Genomic DNA, 18163 nt, shown 5'->3' with positions numbered 1-18163 from the left:
CTCTTTCCAGGCCTTTGCCAAATAACCTGAGATATCTAACTTGCATCTCTCCAGAGGATGAGTGGGCTAGGAGGAGAGATTAAGTAGGGCAGTGACCCACCTCTTTCTCCATACCCCCCCACCATACACACACACCACACACACATACATACATGTACACACACACACCCTACACACACACCCTATACACACTACATACATTGCTACGAGTTGTTGAATTGTTCCCCTCCTCTTAAAACAGTCCTAATTTCCAGTACCCCAGAATGTGAGCTTATTTGGAAATAGGGTCTTTATAGGGGCAATCAAGTTAGCATGAGGCCATCAGGGCAGGCCCCAATTCAATATGACTGTTGTCCTCACAGAAGTGGGAAATTTGGACACAGGCACATGCACATAAGAACACCATTTTAAGATAAGGCGGAGATTGGGGCAATGTTTCTATAAGTCAAGAAATGCCCAAGATTGCCAGCAAGCCACCAGAAGCTCAGAAGAGAACAGCTTCTCAGAAGGAACCAGTCCCACTGACTCTTTGATCTTGGACTTTGAGCCTCCAGAACTGTGAGACAATACATTTCTGGTTTTTTTGTTTTTGTTTTTGTTTTTTTGAGATGGAGTCTCGCACTGTGGTGCCATCTCGGCTCACTGCAACCTCTGCCTCCCAGGTTCAAGCGATTCCCTTGCCTGAGCCTCCTGAGTAGCCGGGATTACAGGCGCGTGCCACCTCACCCAACTAGTTTTTGTATTTTTAGTAGAGACGGGGTTTCACCACGTTGGCCAGGCTGGTCTTGAACTCCTGACCTCAGGTGATCTGCCCGCCTCAGCCTCCCAAAGTGCAGGGATTACAGCTGTGCGCCACGGCGCCAGGGAGAGACAATACATTTCTGTTGCCCTGGCCACTCAGTTTGTTGCAGCAACTCTAGTAAACTAAACCACAGGTGTACCTGCAACAAAAGCTGCCTCCGGGGCAGAAGGTGGGAGCTGAGAAGAGCTTCTAGGGCATTCTGGATTAGGGGCGTTGAGAGCGGGGGAAGGAACCCGTAAGAGGGAGAGATGTGTCCCTCTTTCACTTCCAGATGCCATAGAGTCTACAAACCCACAAGTGTTTCTCGGAACTGAATTTCAACACTATGTTGACATGGTTAGGGCTGAGGCAGCCCCCACAGATGCAGGTGACTAAAAGTTCCATAGAGATCTTCAGGGAAGGCTTTAGCATCTACCTAGAGCGCAAAAGCTGAAGAGTGACATGGCCACACCCATTTTACCTCAGAGAGCTTTGGGAACTTGCCCAAGGTCATGGCGGAAGTGGTGGAGCCTGGAGTCAAGGCTGGTCTCAGAGCCACCTGACAAGTGTGGATCAACACCAGCCCGGCACCCATCAGCCACCCACCTTCCTGCTGGTGAGACTGAAGGCCCATGACGCTCCACAGACTCAAAAACTTCCTCCTTCAAGAACAAACAGCCGGGTTGTGTGAAGGTGCTGGCTGAGACTTCTTTTCTCTCTTTGCATTCCTTCTAATGTGGTTGTTATAACGTTTTTACAATAAGGATGACTAATGTTTACATCACATCTGAATTTTCAGCTAGCATTGGGTGGGAGTGATACCGAGGGTGAGTAGAATGGAGAGCAGCTATTACCAGGACCTTGGGTAAGTCCTTGCCCCGTTCCAAGGCCTCAGTTTCTCCATGGTTAAATGGGTGGGCTGGGCCTGTCAAATCCTTCCACCAGTTAGCAAAATGCTTCTCAAATCAGGTCTGAGTCAGAAAGACAGTTTAACATATAAGATTAAATGGAACTGAATCATGCAGTAAACAAATTATTCCTTTTCCAATTTTTCTGTCCGACTGCATTAAGGAGAAAGTCTCATTGTGCTGCTACTTAGTCTTTAACACCTAACACTTTTTGTTAAATTTTATTTTTGCAGAGATGGGGACATGCAATGTTGCCCAGGATGCTCTTGAACTCCTGGGCTCAAGCAACCTGCCTGTCTTGGCCTCCCAAAGTGCTGGCATGACAGGCATCAGCCACTGTGCCTGGCCACCTAACACTTCTTAATGAATGGAGAGACAGCTCATGCTTGGACGGCAGGCTATTTAATGACACTTTTGGTTTCAGTGTTTTCTTTGTTTATATATATATATTCTATTTACTTAAGTAGTATTGGTTTGAGATACATGATAGTGACAGATTTCTAAGTTCAAATAAACTTAAGTTTATAAAAGGAGAGGGTGGCCGGGTGCGGTGGCTTATACCTGTAATCCCAGCACTCTGGGAGGCTGAGACGGGCAGATCACCTGAGGCCAGGAGTTTGAGACCAGCCTGGCTAACATGGCGAAACCCCGTCTCTACTAAAAATACAAAAATTAGCCAGGCAATGGTGGTGCATGCCTGTAATCCCAGCTACTTGGGAGGCTGAGGCAGGAGAATCACTTGAACCCGGGAGGCAGAGGTTGCAGTGAGCCAAGATGGCACCATTGCACTCCAGCCTGAGCGACAAGAGCGAAACTCAGTCTCAAAAAAAAAAAAAAAAAAAAAAAAAAGGAGTGGGTGCAAGCTTCGGCGGTACATATACGAAAACTGGAACAATACAGAGAAGATTAGAATGACCCCTGTACAGGTATGACACGTGAATTCGTGAAGCGTTCTATATCTTTGTTTAAAAAAAGAAAAAAAGGAGTTGATGTACAAAATTCTTAAGTAATTGTATATGCATGAAGGGCAAATGAAATCACATCCTTCTACACCTAAAACTCTCTGATGAGCTCCCATTTCCCTTGGATTAATTCCAAACCCTATTATCTATGCCCTCAAGCCCTGCCAGCCTCTCCAACTCCATCTCCTTCACTCCTCCATCAGTCTGAAATCAATCTCATTCCTGCCTCAGGGCCTCCGCCCCTGCTCCTCCCCCTGACGGGAATGTCCTCTCCCTGATCTCAGCATTCCCAGCTCATCTCATCACTCAGGTCTATATCCCCTCCGAGGTTCTGCCTGTGTCTCCAGTGCAACCGCTCTCAGTCCCCTTACTTTGCCTGATTTCCCTTGGTGCACATATCCCTCTCTGAAATGATACTATTTTAAAAATGTGTTTATGTTTTTGGTCTATTTTCCCTATTAGAATAGAAGCTTCTTGAAGACCGGGACTTTGTCCCGTATCCTCAGTGGCTGAAAAAAAGTGCCTAACACATACTAGTAGCTCAACAAATGAATGGCAAAACTGTAAAGATGGAGGGAGAACTAGCCCTAAGGTGGAGAGGTGCTGACCCGGACTCCAATATCCGAGGCGGGGCAAGACAGCAGCCACCAGAGGCACAGTGGAAAGGGAGCTCAAACCTTGGCCTCATTAGTACCAGCCTGCCATGCACTGAGCCACCTGCCTCCCTCCCACGGAGGCAGCAAAGAGAGCCGAGTCAGCAACTATTAATGAAGAAGGAATGGTGGAATTATAATATCACCACCAGGTAACCATCCTTATAATAACTGATTCCGGCAAGAATCAACAATAATGTTACAACTAGTGGGCAAAGGTTTGAGGAAGAGTAAGATATTTACATATTCTCAAAGAATCTACCCACAAGATACATGTTAATTACAAAGGAGGAAATTATCTTTACAGCAGAGAAATCTAGCAGACAACACCTTAGCCAAGCAAGTTAGACCACCGGAGAGGGGACATGGAGAGCCCATGTGCCTCCTGATATGATTCACTGGGAAGGACAAAACGTGCTTCTGTGATATTCCTGCCAAACAGGCATGACTTAAATGGAACCATGAAGAACCATCAGACAACCCAGATGAGGGCCATTTTACAGAATAACTGCTCTATGCTTCAAAAAGATCAATGACATGAAAGAGAAAGAAAATCTGAGAAATCATTCCAGATTCAAGGAGAATAGAGAGACGAGAATTAAACGCAGCATACTGAACAAAATTTCTTTTGTCTTAGAAGATATTATTGGAACCATTGGCAAAATCTGAATAAATTCTGTCGATTATCCAATAGAATTGTATCAGCATTAATTATCTGGTTTTGATAAGTACACTGTGGTTATGTAAGAAAATGTCCGTATGTAAAAAAAAAAAACAACAACAAAAACACACGTTGGGGTATTTAGGAGAAAGGGACATTACAACCTTCTCTCAAACAGTTTAGGGGGAAAGCAATAGAAAAACAGACACATTGAGAGGAAATAATAAAGCAAATGTGGAAAATTGTTAGCAGTTGGAGAGTCTGAGGGAAGAGCATGGGGAAATTCTTTGTATTGTTCTTGCAACTTCTCAGTAAGTCTGAAATTAGCCTGAAATTAAAAGTTAAGTGAAAAAACAGGCCAGGTGCAGTGGCTCGCGTCTGTAATCCCAGCACTTTGGGAAGCTGAGGCAGGAGGATCGCTTGAGGTCAGGAGTTAAAGACCAGCCTGACCAACATGGTGAAACCCCGTCTCTACTAAAAATACAAAAACTAGCGTGGTGGTGCGGGACTGTAGTCCCAGCTACTCGGGAGGCTGAGGCACGAGACTCGCTTGAACCTGGGAGGTGGAGGTTGCAGTGAGCCGAGATCACAACACTGCACTCCAACCTGGGCAACAAGAGTGAGACTCCGTCAAAAAAAAAAAAAAAGTGAAGTAAAAAAACAAAGAGGAGGCAGAGCCTGAGGACTGGAGGAGCCGTTGGAGGGGCTGGGCAGAGTAGCTACATGAAGCCAGCATGTCACTGCCCAGGGTCACCTGTGTTCATGTCAGACCATGTCAGGCCACACTGGGCCATAGCAGTCCCCCGCATTCTCTCTAGGGGTGGGGGTGGGGAGTTAGTTAAGCCTGTGCCTGGTTCACACAGGCCCCGCCATGCCCTGCTGGGCAGCGTGGGAAGAGGCCCTGGAAAGAGTCCCTGCAGACTGGGCTTCTCAGCCCTGCTCCAAGACCCTGGGGCATGTCGTTCCCCACTTCGCACCTCGCTTTCCTCCTCTGACAAACAGGAGATGGCTGGCAGCTCGCTGGGGTTTCTTCCAGCTCAGACATTGTCATACTTCTAGAATCCCATCCCGGCAAAGCAACATATTTCTCCAAGGAGCTGAATCCATTTGGCAACTGTGCATCCTTTAGTTTGGTTGAAGGAGGGAGGGAGGCAAAACGAGAGCACACCAAATGGAGTGGGGAACGGGCCTCCTCCAGGCCTGGGGGGCTTCCTCAGCTCTGTCTCCCCGCGCCCGCCTGCTCCCAGGCACCCCTCCTGAAAGAGGTGAACACCCTAGCAAAAAGGGTACTGAAGTGCAGATAAACATCCTCCCTCCAAACCCCAGTGACCAGAAGTGACTCTGCTCCCAGCTCTGTCAGCCACTGGCGGCGTTACTTAAGCTCTTGGGCTTCAGTCTGTCCTTCTGTAAAATGAACAGAGTCACGCTTGGCTTTGCATCTGACTCCGAGGACACAGTGACTTCATTTCTGCCTTCTCCCTGCCACAGGGCTCAGTACATGACTCCAAGTCAGAAGTGAGGTCCTCAGATGGGACCCCCAAGAAGCCCCTAGCCCCAAGGCCCCTCGTCACTCTTACAGCCTGTGTCCCCACATGACCCTGGTCCCCAGCCCCATGCACAGACCGCCCCCCACCCGGGCATCTGCTGTCCCCAGCCCCATGCACAGAACCCCCCCCCCCGCCACCCTGGCATCTGCTGGCACCTCCCGGAGACCTCAGCCCAGCTCAGGGTCCTGATGGAGATTGGGGGTGGCCTGGACACTTATTGGCCGGACTTTTGAGTGTGCCCCCACCCCCTAGCACACGGTGGAGACCCAGGGGCACCCTTCCATACAAGGGAAAACAGGGGACCACATTCCTATGACAGGGCCATCTCCCTATCTCTCAGCATCTCCCAGGGACCAGAGACCCAGCCCCGGAGCTTCCTCCTCAGCCCTGCATCCTGCCTCCTGGCCTCTCTCAGCCGCCATTTTCAGGCAGAAGGCGTTCGGGCTGCAGGAGCCTACAAAATGGAGGGTGGGAACCTGGGCTTCCCTCTGCCTCCGTCTGTTGTCCCTGGGAGCGCCTGCCCGGTCCCAGTCGGAGCAGCAGCTGTGGCCACAGGTCTCTCCTAACACCCTAAGGAGCCTGGCATTTCTCCAAGCATGTCACCGCCAACATCTGGGGAGCCCCACACAGCTCTGAGCTCCCGTTGGCCCTGCTTTACAGCCGGGGAAACGAAGGCTGGGCATGGCCACTCAGCCTGAAGGAGGAGAGCTCAGGCTCCATAAAGTTCCATGACGGCCCAGCTGATGGTGGGTGAGGTGAAAAGTCCCTGGGGGAAGGGCGGACCTTTCCTGCAGGAGTCTTGAGTGGGGAGGGGTCCCCGGCCCAAACCCTACCCAATTCCAGGGCTGGGAAAAAGCAACGGATTTGGAGTCATGAGGTAAAACCAAGTATCTGTCATCTATTAGTGGTGCGATCTAGGAAAAGTCACTTTATCTCTCTGAGCCTGTCACTTACTCAGTAAAATGGAAGTATTAAATAGTAGCGCATACCTCCTTAGGGCTGTGACGAGGAGAAGGCAGGTTTACGTATTTGCAGAGTGCTGCACTGGAGGACGTGATCCTTGTACTGCCTGCCTAACACTTGTAAATGTACATTTTGTGGCGCACCTTCCGTGGGCCAGTCCCTGTGCTTGGCGCTCATTGAATCCTCATGGCACACCAGTCTGGGTCAGGAGGCAGAAAAGAGCCTGGACCTCAGCTCCTTTGGGAATTTCAGTCCTGCCTACCCAACATGACCCAACAGGACCAGCCGGACTGGCTGGTCAGCACCTCCCCTCAGCCGGGCCCTCGTAGGCTGTCCCACCTCCAGGTTTCTGCTCAAATGGGTCTTTCTTTCAATTTAATTAATTAATTAATTATTTTGAAACAGAGTCTCACTCTGTTGCATAGGCTGAAGTGCAGTGGTGCGATCTTGGGTCACTGTAACTTCCGCCTCCCGGTTTCAAGCGATTCTCTTCCCTCAGCCTTGCGGGTAGCTGGGATTACAGGTGCCCCCCATCCCCCGAACCACACCCGGCTAATTTTTGTATTTCTTTACTAGGGACGGGGTTTCGCCATATTGGCCAGGCTGGTCTCGGACTCCTGACCTCAAGTGATCCGCCCTACTTGACCTCCCAAAGTGTTGGGATTACAGGCGTGAGCCACTGCACCCGGCCTTCAAATGGGTCCTTCTTTCTGAAATACTTTTTTTTTTCTTTTTTGAGACAAGGTCTTGCTCCGTTGTCCAGGCTGGAGTGCAGTGGTGAGATCATGGCTCACTGCAGCCTCAACCTCCTGGGCTCAAGTCATTCTCTGCCTCAGCCTCCCGAGTAGCTGGGACTACAGGCATGAATCTCACATCCGGCTAACTTTTTAATTTTTTGTAAACGTGGGGGTCACACTATGTTGCCTATGCTGCTCTGGAACTCTTGGACTTCGGCCTCCCAACGTGCTGAATTACAGGTGTGAGTCACCAGAAAGGGCTGAAATCCTTTTTTCCCCCTTAACTTCTTATTTTCAAACTATGGACTCATAAGAAGTTGCCAAAATAGTGAAGAGAAATCCTGTGTACCCATCAGTCAGCTTCCCCCAGTGGTGACATATCATGACATGGATTTAAATTCAGCATTAGCCACCAACCTGGGACAAAATACATAACTTTCTGAGCCTCAGTTTCTCCACCCATAAAAAAGGGGTGATTGTCCTGGTGTTGTCAGGGTGGAACAGCATATGCATAGCTGGTGCTTGGAGAATATTAAGTCCCTGGTAATGGGTGGTGGTTGCAGCTGTCACTGGATTGTGCCTGTTGCCACACCTATCCCGGGGTGGTGCTGGTGTGTCTTACCACAACACTATAAACTGTTCAAGGGCAAACCTTCATGTCCTATGGCAGTGCCAGCACAGGGCCTGGTACTCAGCAGGTACTGAATGAATATGAAAATATGGAGCCTAGGCCAGGCACAGTGGCTCACACCTGTAATCCCAGCACTTTGGGAGGCTGAGGCGGGCGGGTGGATCACCTGAGGTCAGGAATTCAAGACCAGCCTTGCCAAAATGGTGAAACCCCGTCTCTACTAAAAATACAAAAAAATTAGCTGGGCATGGTGGTGGGTGCCTATGGTCCCCTTACTCGGGAGGCTGAGGCAGGAGAATTGCTTGAACCTGGGAGGCGGAGGTTGCAGTGAGCTGAGATCGCAGCATTGCACTCCAGCTTGGGTAACAGACTGAGACTCCGTCTCAAAAAGAAAAAAAAAAAAAAGAAAACAAAACAAAATATGGAGCCTGCTGCCCAGCAAGCTCTCCCCTGGCTCATGGTGCCTCTTTAATTTTGCCTTCCTGCTGGCCCCAAGGTGCAGGGCAACCCCCAGGCAAACCCCATGAGGGCGTGCCATGATGAGGGAGGCAGCCACACTTGACCCCATCTGTTGCTAAGAAGACTTCCAGGGTCCCTAGGACCTCAGAGGTCCCTCAGGGCTGTTCCTAGATTCAGTGGTGAGGCTGCAAGGCTAGGAGTTTGCATTTAGGGGAGAAACCCTATGCTAGAATAGAGCCCACAGGACAGCTGGCTGGAAACAAGCCAGGCAACTCCCACACAATGGAAAAAGCACCAGCCTGCTGGCTGGGAGACCCAAGCTCAGGTCCTGACAAGTCTCTTAGCCTCGCTAAACCTCAGTTTCCTCATCTATAAAATGAGGTCACCATGTGGGTGATGGAGCTCATTGTGCAAACAGCACTATGTTAACCACCGAGTCCTGTATTCACATAGGCAAGGGATTATCTTTGGTCTTGCTGTAGAGCATTTATAAGCTAACATTTCTGAGCACTGCATTTTGTTCGGCTATTTTCAGATGCATCATCTACATTAACTTGTACACTTTGGTGAGTTGGGGATTTTTATCTCTAGCATGCAGGCAAAGAAACCACCCTGGGGCCATGCAGAGATGCAATTCAGAACCCGCGTCTGCCTGACTCCGGGGTCCATGATTCTATACGACAGGATGCCGGCTGGGGTTGATACAGTGCCCTTCCTAGGGCTAAGTGTCTAGTGGCTGGGTCTCTGCTGCGTACAGCCAGATGCCCTGCTCCATAACCTGTAAAGCCTCAAGGAACATACATAAAGTACAAGCATGTTTAGGCTGGGTCCTTAGTGTTCAATTTACCCAGTTTTCCAGAAAGGAAACTAGGGCCAGAGAAAGGAAGGAACTTGACCAAGATTCCCCAGCAAGTTAGGACCAGAGCTAGTTCTCAAAGTCCACACCCACCTCACCCCTCCTCAAGGTTCCTTCTCCTCCCCAGGCTGCAGGGGCCTAGATTCCCAGAGCGGAATCAAGGGAGGTGAACTCGGGTGCCCCCCAACCTCAGGGCTCACTGGGAAAATCCAGGGACTTCTCAGGGTACTGGGGAGCCCCTGAAATGGGGGTCTCATGTGTAGGACGTAACCCCAGGCTGCAGAGCAGTCAGCGTCCCCAGGCTCAGTCTTGTCAGGGGACACCATGCCCACCCCCTTTGTCCTTTCTCTGGATCAGTGTTTTCAAAGTCTAGGGCACATACACAAAACTATGCAAAATTGATTTAGGTGGTCATTGACTTGGCATTATATACCACTATATTACATGATGAGGAAGTTATGCATACTCTTTATTTCCCTTTCAGCCTTTCTAATTACAGACTTGGAGGAGGAAATCTCCCATGGGGTTAGTCTTTAAAGTCTCTCTGACATCTACAGCCCTCCCTTTTGAGGAAAGGGAAAGCAGCAAATGCATCTGGCTAGAATTTAGTAACATTGTTTTATTTCCATTATGTTTATTTTCACCATTATAATCATGATGGTGATTTATAATGAATGGCTTTCCATTTAAGGGAGTGATATATAAAGTTTCTTCTCAAAATAAATGTATTTGCATTTTAAAACATCAATTAAGAAAGAGTAGCCAGGCATGGTGTCAGGCGCCTGTAATCCCAGCTATTTGGGAGGCTGAGGTGGGAGGATCCCTTGAGCCCAGGAGTTTGAAGCTGCAGTGAGCTGCACCACTGCATTCTAGCCTGGGCGACAGAGCGAGACTCCATCTAAAAAAAAAGAAAAGAAAGAAAGAAAAAGGAGGGAAATTACGTTAAGTAAATTGTCAGGTGGATGACACCTTGGCCAACACTGGGAAGGTGGGCTGGAATAAAGTGCTCCGGGAAGAGCTATGCTGGATAACTTACCATGCTCTGAGTCTGGAGAAGGGCCAGTGCCGAGGACAGGATGGAGGGCCTGGAGGTCTTGCTAGCTGAGGAAGTAGATACAGCCTGGGGATCCCAGCCCTACCAGGGGGCTGCTCAGGGCAGGCCTGAGCACATGGCATGGATGTTAAAGCTCATGGTGTCCCATCTGTGGTCCAGGCAGGGAGAGGATGGCCACGCACCTGGGAGGTCTACACTCCAAGCTCCTGTCCTAAAGGACAGTTGGGGCCACCTGTTTATTCCTCCTTGCCCCAGGGAGAAGTCTGATTCCTTAACTCAGAATCTAACAGCTGGGTACTGAATTTAATTCTTGAGTGTTCTATAAATATAATAAATAAAGCCTTAATAAATGTGGTCTGAATGAGGAGGGCCATGGGCAGCATTTCTCACTCATTCTAGATCCCTCTGTAAAGTTCGAGCTCCAGCACCCTAGGAGCTACCCCGTTCCATGGCCCCAATACGGTGAAGGCCACGCTAACTGTCATCAGTCATTGACCTGTGGCCAGAGAGCCAAGCTAAGCCGGGAGAAAGATGCAGAAGCCTGTCATAAATTATTTATGTATCTATGAGATGAAGTCTTGCCAGGCAGGAAGAATGTGAAAAGAGGTCAGAATAGAAAAGTAAACATGTGTGTTTAATTCAGTCCAATCAAACAATAAGGCCAGATGCACGGCAGATGTAGGGGATTAGGTTTGTATAACTTGGATTCAGAGTTCATAGGTCAAGGAGCCAGCCCAGTTAGAGGGCACGGACTATCAAAAAGGGCACAAGCGCATCCATCAGCAACACAGGGGAACCATATCTTATGTTTTGGCAAAACAACAAAAACACCGACCTCAGCTCAGTCCACTGAGATGGAAAAACTTCAACCTGCTTGGCATAACCCAAGTTACCTGCAATGGCGCCATTGTTTCCTCCTTGGTAAGTGGCTTTTAAACCCAGGAAGATTAGAATTTAGAAAATAGAGATGATTAAATAAACAAACACTCATAGTATATATCCAATGGTGTTAAATGTAAGTTGGGTCAAGCTCCGTGAGTTGCATAAAGTCCTATATTTGTGATATTTAAAAACATTTGGCCATTGAGTTCCTCATGAATGTGAGCAGGTAATTGACTTAGGTTCAATTTTGAAGTAGAAAATTTAAGAGAATTTGACAATATCTGTAAACATTAGAATATTTAAGAGAACTTGATATTCGCTTTAATAACTCAGAAACAGAAAGTCAAACACCACATTCTCACTTATAAGTAGGAGCCAAACAACGTGCACACATGGACATACAGAATGGAGTAACAGACATCAGAGATTCCAAAAGGTGGGAAGATGGGAGGGGAGTGAGGAATGAAAATTACTTATTGGGTACAATGTACAACACTCCAGTGCTGGGTACACTATAATCCCAGACTTCACCACTACGTAATATATCCGTGTAACAAAACTGCACTTCTACCCTCATATCTATAAAAATTTTAAAAATAACTTAATATTCACTTCACTTATGCTAGTTTTTTAGTTCTAAAAGCATTTTCTAAAATTCTTGGGAACATTTTGTTTCATGCTCTATAAAATATGGAATTCATCATATTTATAAATGTGCTTAGAATATCAAAAGCAGTGTTATCCAATATAAATATGATGCAAGTTACGCATGTAATTTTAAATATTCCAGGACAACCCTCCCCCTACTTTTTTATTGAGACAGGGTCTCCTTCATCGCCCAGACTGGAGTGAAGTGGCACAATAATGGCTCATTCATTGCAGCCTCAAACTCCCGGGCTCAAACCATCCTCCTACCTCAGCCTTCCGAGTAGCTGGGACAACAGGCTTGTACCACCACTTCAGGCTAATTTTGTATTTTTTGGAGATACGGGGTTTTGCCATGTTTCCCCAGCTGGTCTTGAACTCCTAGGTTCAAGCGATCTTCCTGCCTTGGCCTCCCAAAGTGCTGGGATTACAGGTGTGAACTACCACACCAGACCAGAAACCCCATTTTTAAAAAGTAAAAAGGAATATGTAAACTTAATTGTGATAATAGAATTCATTTAGCCCATCATATCAAAAATATTATAAGTTCGACATATAAATCACATAAAATTTGTTGAAATATTTTACATTCTTTCTTGAAACTCATCTTCAAAACCTGTTGCATATTTTACACTTTACACATCTCAATTTGGACTATCATCACATTTTAAATGCGTGATTGTAGGGGCTACCCTATGGAATAGCACAGAACCAAGGGAGTTTGATTAGCTACATTTGTAAGGGTATTTATTATTTAAGGATGCTAGGTCTGTTCAACTTCATTTGCTCAAATATTAAAGGCCCATCGAAAGTCATTAATCAAAATTACAGGGCTTATAAAATAAAATATGATTAGTATGTTGAACTCACAAGTTAAGAAAAAACAAATTATTAAAAAATTGTTAATTAAAGAATTACTATTTTTTTCAAAAGTAGCCACAAACAGCCTTTTCATACACAAAGGCAGCCCTCGAGGACCTCGCCAGCCAGAGCACAGCTGGCATTAGAGTCACGGAGCTCAGCACTGCCCTGGCGGGAAAGGCCTGGGGCTTTGTTACTGCGTCATAGTGTCAGATCTGGACAAAAGCTTTCTTATAGATTGTCTGACAGAGCACCCCCCTTCCACTGATGAGAAAACATGGCTGAGAAGAAAAGAAGCACAGTCAATGGTGAATTAGAGACGGGACCAGGGCAGAACCTGGGGTCTCATGATGCCACCCCAGCCTCCCCTGTCAAGGGCTCCTAATTCATTCTCTCTGTTCCTTCATCCTTAGTTGGCTGATCAGGAAACTGAGGCGGAGAACTGGAGGCTTGAATCTCTAAGCAACAGAAATCAGCAACACAAACCAAGCCAGGCCCAGCACCCGGGCCACCTGGGCAGAGGCCCAGGAGATAGGGCCTCGTGCTAGGGTTAGAAAGGGAAGAAGGAGGCTGGGCGCGGTGGCTCACTCCTGTAATCCCAGCACTTTGGGAGGCTGAGGTGGGTGGATCACGAGGTCAGGAGATTGAGACCATCCTGGCCAACGTGGCGAAACCACGTCTCTACTAAAAATACAAAAATTAGCTGGGCGTCGTGGCGCATGCCTGTCATCCCAGCTACTCAAGCCTGGCAACAGAGCGAGACTCTGTCTTAAAAAATAAAAGGGGGAAGAAGGAGAGGGGAGGTCTGCCCGAGCACAGCAAGGTTTCAGCCAGGTCTGCCAGGGCAAAGGAGGGCAGGATTCCACCTGCCTGTGGTCCCAGGGCAGAGCCAGGCAGCCCCACCCTGAAATAGTTCTTGGGGTAAAGGCCTGAAACTTCCACACGCACTTCATTATCCCAGCTCCATTTCCTCCCTCTTTGCCATCATTTTTCTTTCTCCTTCTTTTTCTCCTTGGAGGTCCTAGTCTCCTTTCCCCAATATGGTCGGCCCAACACAAACTCCCCACAAGCAGATGTGGGTCAACCTTGCCCTCTGAGGTCAGGTTCTGCTAGCATTTGGGCCTGCTGAGCTGGACACAGAGGAAGAAAAGCTCAGGGAGGCCTGGAGTGTAGCAGCTCAGTGTCCCTTGCATCAGCCCCGGAGAGGGGCAAGGGGCTGCTTGAAGGTGCAGTCTTCCTCCTGCCTGGAGAGGCCATATTTTTCAGCAGTAGGACATACACCCCTGGCAACCCTCAGGAGAGTTTACAGAAGCCGCGTTTAATGCTCTGAAATCGCAGAGTGAGGAAATTATTCCCTGCCCACGGTGTTTTCAGTCCTTCTGCAAAGTCAAGAAGAAAATACCTGCTAGAGCTAGGAGGCCATCTCCTCTCCCCTCCTCATCACCCCTTTCACAGAGGGGATGAGCTCTGGGTCTTCACGATCTTTTCACTTTTTGCTAAAGCGTAATAGAAATTGGGTTTTGCCACCATTTGTTTTTATGTTTCCCTTTACCTTTCACTTATGGCAAATGATATTGATTTTCCACTTATAATAGTGATGTAAACTTTCCTTTCAAAACTGAGCTTGCATTGATAACAACAAGTGAGTCAAGTAAATATCAACACAGTTTCAAAACCATAAAGTGGATGACAGTACTGGGAAGGAGCAGGTCGGGCAAGAGCTGCCAGGGTGGGACAGACTGAATCGAAGGAACTTGGAGGCTCCAGGACTACTTTGTTTGACCTCCCTGAGCTCTGCCCAGGTCTCTGGGTTCCCACCTCTCCTGTGGGCACCATTCAAAGCCAGTTCTCCTGGCTGGCTGCTGGGCCAGCTGCCAAGGCTCGGACGCCAAGGGCACCAATGCCTAGCTCAGCCCCTGGCCCTCATTCCTGCTGGGAAGCTGAGAAGGAGCTGGTCTGAAGCCCTGGGTTGGGGAAAATCTTTTGGACCCGACTTTACTCCTGAGCCTGTGGCTGGGCTTCATGGGGAAGAGGAAAGGGGGCCACTCTCGGACAGTCTGTTTCAGCTCAGGGGCAGAAGGCAGCTGAAATTCCAGAGCTGCTGCTCCAGAAACTCCTGGTAGAGTTAGCAGGGCAAAGCTACATGCACAGAGCTGAAGGCACACAAACTCCAGTTCCCAGAGCCGAATGGCTTTCCCTGAACCAGTATGAGGCCACAGGCTCGGAACACATGCCTGGAGATCAAGGCAGAGAGGAGAGCACTCCCTGCCCAGAGTCTCGCGACATGTACCCAGTCCTCCAAACCAGCTCGATGCCCCCTCCTGACTGGGTCTTCCTGGGTCTCCTCCATCACAAAATGAAAGCACTTGGCTCTCTGGCTGCAAGGTGGACCCAGACTCCCCTGGCCCGAATTCTGTTTCCATACCAGTCTTCCCAAATCCCAAAATGTGAGAGCTCGATGGGGTCAGGATCTCTTGCATCTCCAGGCCCCTGCCCCGCTCTGGCCAGCTTGGACCCTGCACTCAACAGGGGCCAGCAAGTATCTGGGGAGCACAGTCTAGTGCCCCAAACCTTCTGGCCATCTGATTCCCTGGCCCAGGTGGCCAGGTGCCTTGACACTTGGGGGCAGCTTGAGACGTGGGGGTGGCCTTCATGCTCGCTTATGCCCTAGACTACCCCAGCTGGTTGTGCTGAGGCCATCAGCGCCTGGTTGTCCAGAACTCTCCCTGGCTTCCCTGAGTCCTGTTTCGGGAGGTGCTCTCCTGTGATTGGCCTACGCCTGCTGGACCCCAAGCCTCAGCTTTGGCGTTGAAAGTACCACCATCAGTGGTCCTGCCTCTCTGGAAGGTGAACGGTTCCTTCTTAAGAGTTGGCAAGAAATAGGAAATGGGGGAGTTCCTGAGCTTAAGGATGGGAGAGGCACCTCCCTCCTCACACCCTAGGGACCCATTGGTAAGGCACAAAGCATGCTTCCCACATTCTGTCACTCCAGGAGGCTTCCAGGCACAGCCCCAGCCCCTCGAGGGGCTCCTGTGTCCTCTCCTAGCCCCAGATGCTGGACCTCCCTGGTACCTGAGTGTAGTCTTGGCTAAAAGATCCTAGAAAAGTGACCACAAGGAAACAACCAGAAAGGGGACTGAGAGGGCCGGACCCGGCTCCTCCAGCACCAGTGGCAGGAGATGAGGGAAGGGGGCCTACCTGAGAGGGCTGCCGTCAGCAATCCAGTGATCCCGAAGAAGAGCCACATGTCTGGAGCTGTCTCTGGCTGCTACGCGTGGCTGCCTGTGGGAAGCACCATCTTGGGGCCGGGAGGTGGACACGGCCGTTGTGCGCCCCTGGCGCAGGTCTGCTCTACCCTTTGCTGTTCTTGTTCCTGTGTCTCTCTCTGCTCTCTCCTCTCCGACACGCATGCGATCAAACCCAACCTGTGAGTGTCTCACGCCTGCTTGTTCTGCTTGTGGTTTTGGTCTGCAGGAAGCTGGGCTGCTGTTACAGGGGCTGGTGGGGAGAGCCCCAGCTGCCTGTGCTGGGAGCCCACCCATCCAGGCTGCACCCCAAGAGTCACGGAGCCAGACACACGCATGCACACGCATCCATGCAGACACACTTCCCCGAGGGTCTTCTAAGAAGAAGGGAAGTGGAAGAGCCATGCCTCATTTCTGGTGGCCCAGAAGAAAAAATTGATAATGTAGTAGCTGCTCAATCAGTACATATTGGAAGAGGGAGTGAATGACCCATTGCCTGTCCCGGTCCGTGTAATTTGGCTCTCTTGGATTAAATCCTGAGTTTTATCTTAACCTTAGGTGCAATGGTGGTTGGGAAGGAGGGTGTGGTCTTGATGCACTTTTGGAGATAAGAGCCTAAGTCTCCCCTCAGAGAAATATAAATTGGGAAGGGCCTGAGAGATGGCCATCCCACAAGTCCTTCTACAGGGAAGGGTGCCAAGGCCTTGTGGGAGCCGCCCCGTCAGATGGCACAGTGGGGCCAGCTATCCCATCTCCAGGTACCAGACTGGGCATGCCTCCGTGGGAGTCAGGCATGGGAGCTGGGTCTACAAGGCTGAGCAGGATTTTGACAAACAGCAATCATGGGAGGCCTCTGGGCCAGAAGGAATAGCAGGAGCAAAGGGCTGAAGGAAGGAAGCCCAGGGCTGCCTGAGAAACCCCGAGTTGCCCCATTGCACTGCAGCAGACTGACGCTATAGGAAGAAGGCAGGGGCCAAGCGTGTTTAATTCCCATGGTACTCCCTGTGGAGCATATGGTAGGAGGTGAATAAATGTTTATTGAATGAGAAAAGGAATAGATAATTTGGTTGTCCAAGCAGGGCCCTGGAAGTGGTCAAATCCAGAAGGGGTTTGGTTCCAAATCCTGGCCCTGCCTCAATTGGTCCCATCCCAGGTCCACCTCTCCTGGCCCTCCACTTCCTGCATCCTTGCTTGTCTTCATTTCCCCAACATGTGGAATGAGGAGCGGTCCTCCTCCATTGGGTTCGGTCCTAAATGTGGGTGTATGCATTTGATGCGGCAAGTATTAGAGCCACGGGGAACCAGGCGCCCCCAGAGTGAGACTCCTCCCAGTCCTGCCCCAGCGCCGGCACCTGCTGCCGCTGCCCTCTGGTGGAAGTCACTGGCAGCACAGGTTTGCATGGGTGCCTCGAGCTCCCAGATGCAATTCCATTCATTTACACAGTCTTGGTGTGCAGAACTCTGGACAGGACTCTGTGGAAGTGAAAGAGAGGAAACCATATTCCTGCCCTCAAGGAGGATGAAGTTCACACACACACAAGTGACCAAACCACAGGCCAAGGTAGGACACACATAATGTGAGGTCTCCTGGTCCTAAGAGGAACCCGTTTGAAATGGGCCGGGAAGGATGGCTAGACTCCATTTCTGACAATATGGTAGACAGCAGATGCTGAAGAATTCTCCTAATACAAAACACCACAAAAATATTGTAAACCATCTTTTAAAATGTGTAGCTGAGGTGGTGAGAAATGAAGAAAATCATCAGAGATCAAAAACGACAATAAGCCTGGGCAACATGGTGAAACCCTCTCTCTGCAAAAGGTGCAAAAAATTAGCCAGGTTTGGTGGCACACACCTGCGGTCTCAGCTACTCAGGAGGCTGAGGTGGGAGGATCGCTTGAGCCCAGGAGGTCAAGGCTTTAATAAGCCAAGATTGCACTGCTGTACTCCAGCCTGGGCAACAGAGTGAGACCTTGTATATGTTAATATATAAAGACAACAAAAATCCAAAGAGATCACAGCCAGCAGAGAAGTATCTGTTGATCCAGTTGACCAAGAGCTTCAGTCTTATGAACATGGACAAAAGTTAAAGCTGAGAAACAAAATCGAAGTGAAAAACAAAATCCAAAATTTCTGCCTTAAACAAAGAGCACTGAAATACAACATCCACAGTGGAGAACTCGGAGAGAAAAATTCCTTAAAGCGAGCTGACACAGAGCTTGCCCAACTCAGTATGGACTCTGAGTGGGAGAAAAATAAATGTCAACCCTGAATGCCCCTCACCACAAGTCTACCCACTAATAGGCCTGGAGGTGAAA

At 49.1% G+C, this 18163-nt stretch overlaps 1 protein-coding gene and 1 pseudogene across 17 annotated transcripts in view; one reads left to right on the top strand and one right to left on the bottom strand.

Moving 5' to 3' along the window:
- CD6 (CD6 molecule) overlaps positions 1–16033 on the bottom strand; it is a 48698-nt gene extending 32665 nt beyond the window's left edge. For all 17 annotated transcript variants that reach the window (NR_045638.2, XM_047427881.1, NM_006725.5 and 14 more), the window contains exon 1: positions 15799–16033. Coding sequence is in view for 15 of the 17 variants with exons in the window: in NM_006725.5 (NP_006716.3) it covers positions 15799–15847 (49 nt within the window). In the remaining 2 variants the exon portion in view is untranslated. The remainder of the gene's footprint in view (positions 1–15798) is intronic.
- RNU6-933P (RNA, U6 small nuclear 933, pseudogene) lies at positions 2546–2652 on the top strand (annotated as a pseudogene).
- Positions 16034–18163: the final 2130 nt, after the last annotated feature.

This window comes from Homo sapiens, chromosome 11 (genome assembly GCF_000001405.40).
Source record: "Homo sapiens chromosome 11, GRCh38.p14 Primary Assembly".
NCBI lineage: Eukaryota > Metazoa > Chordata > Mammalia > Primates > Hominidae > Homo > Homo sapiens.
The sequence above is the reverse complement of the archived record's forward strand: the minus strand, read 5'-3'. Positions and strand labels throughout refer to the sequence as shown.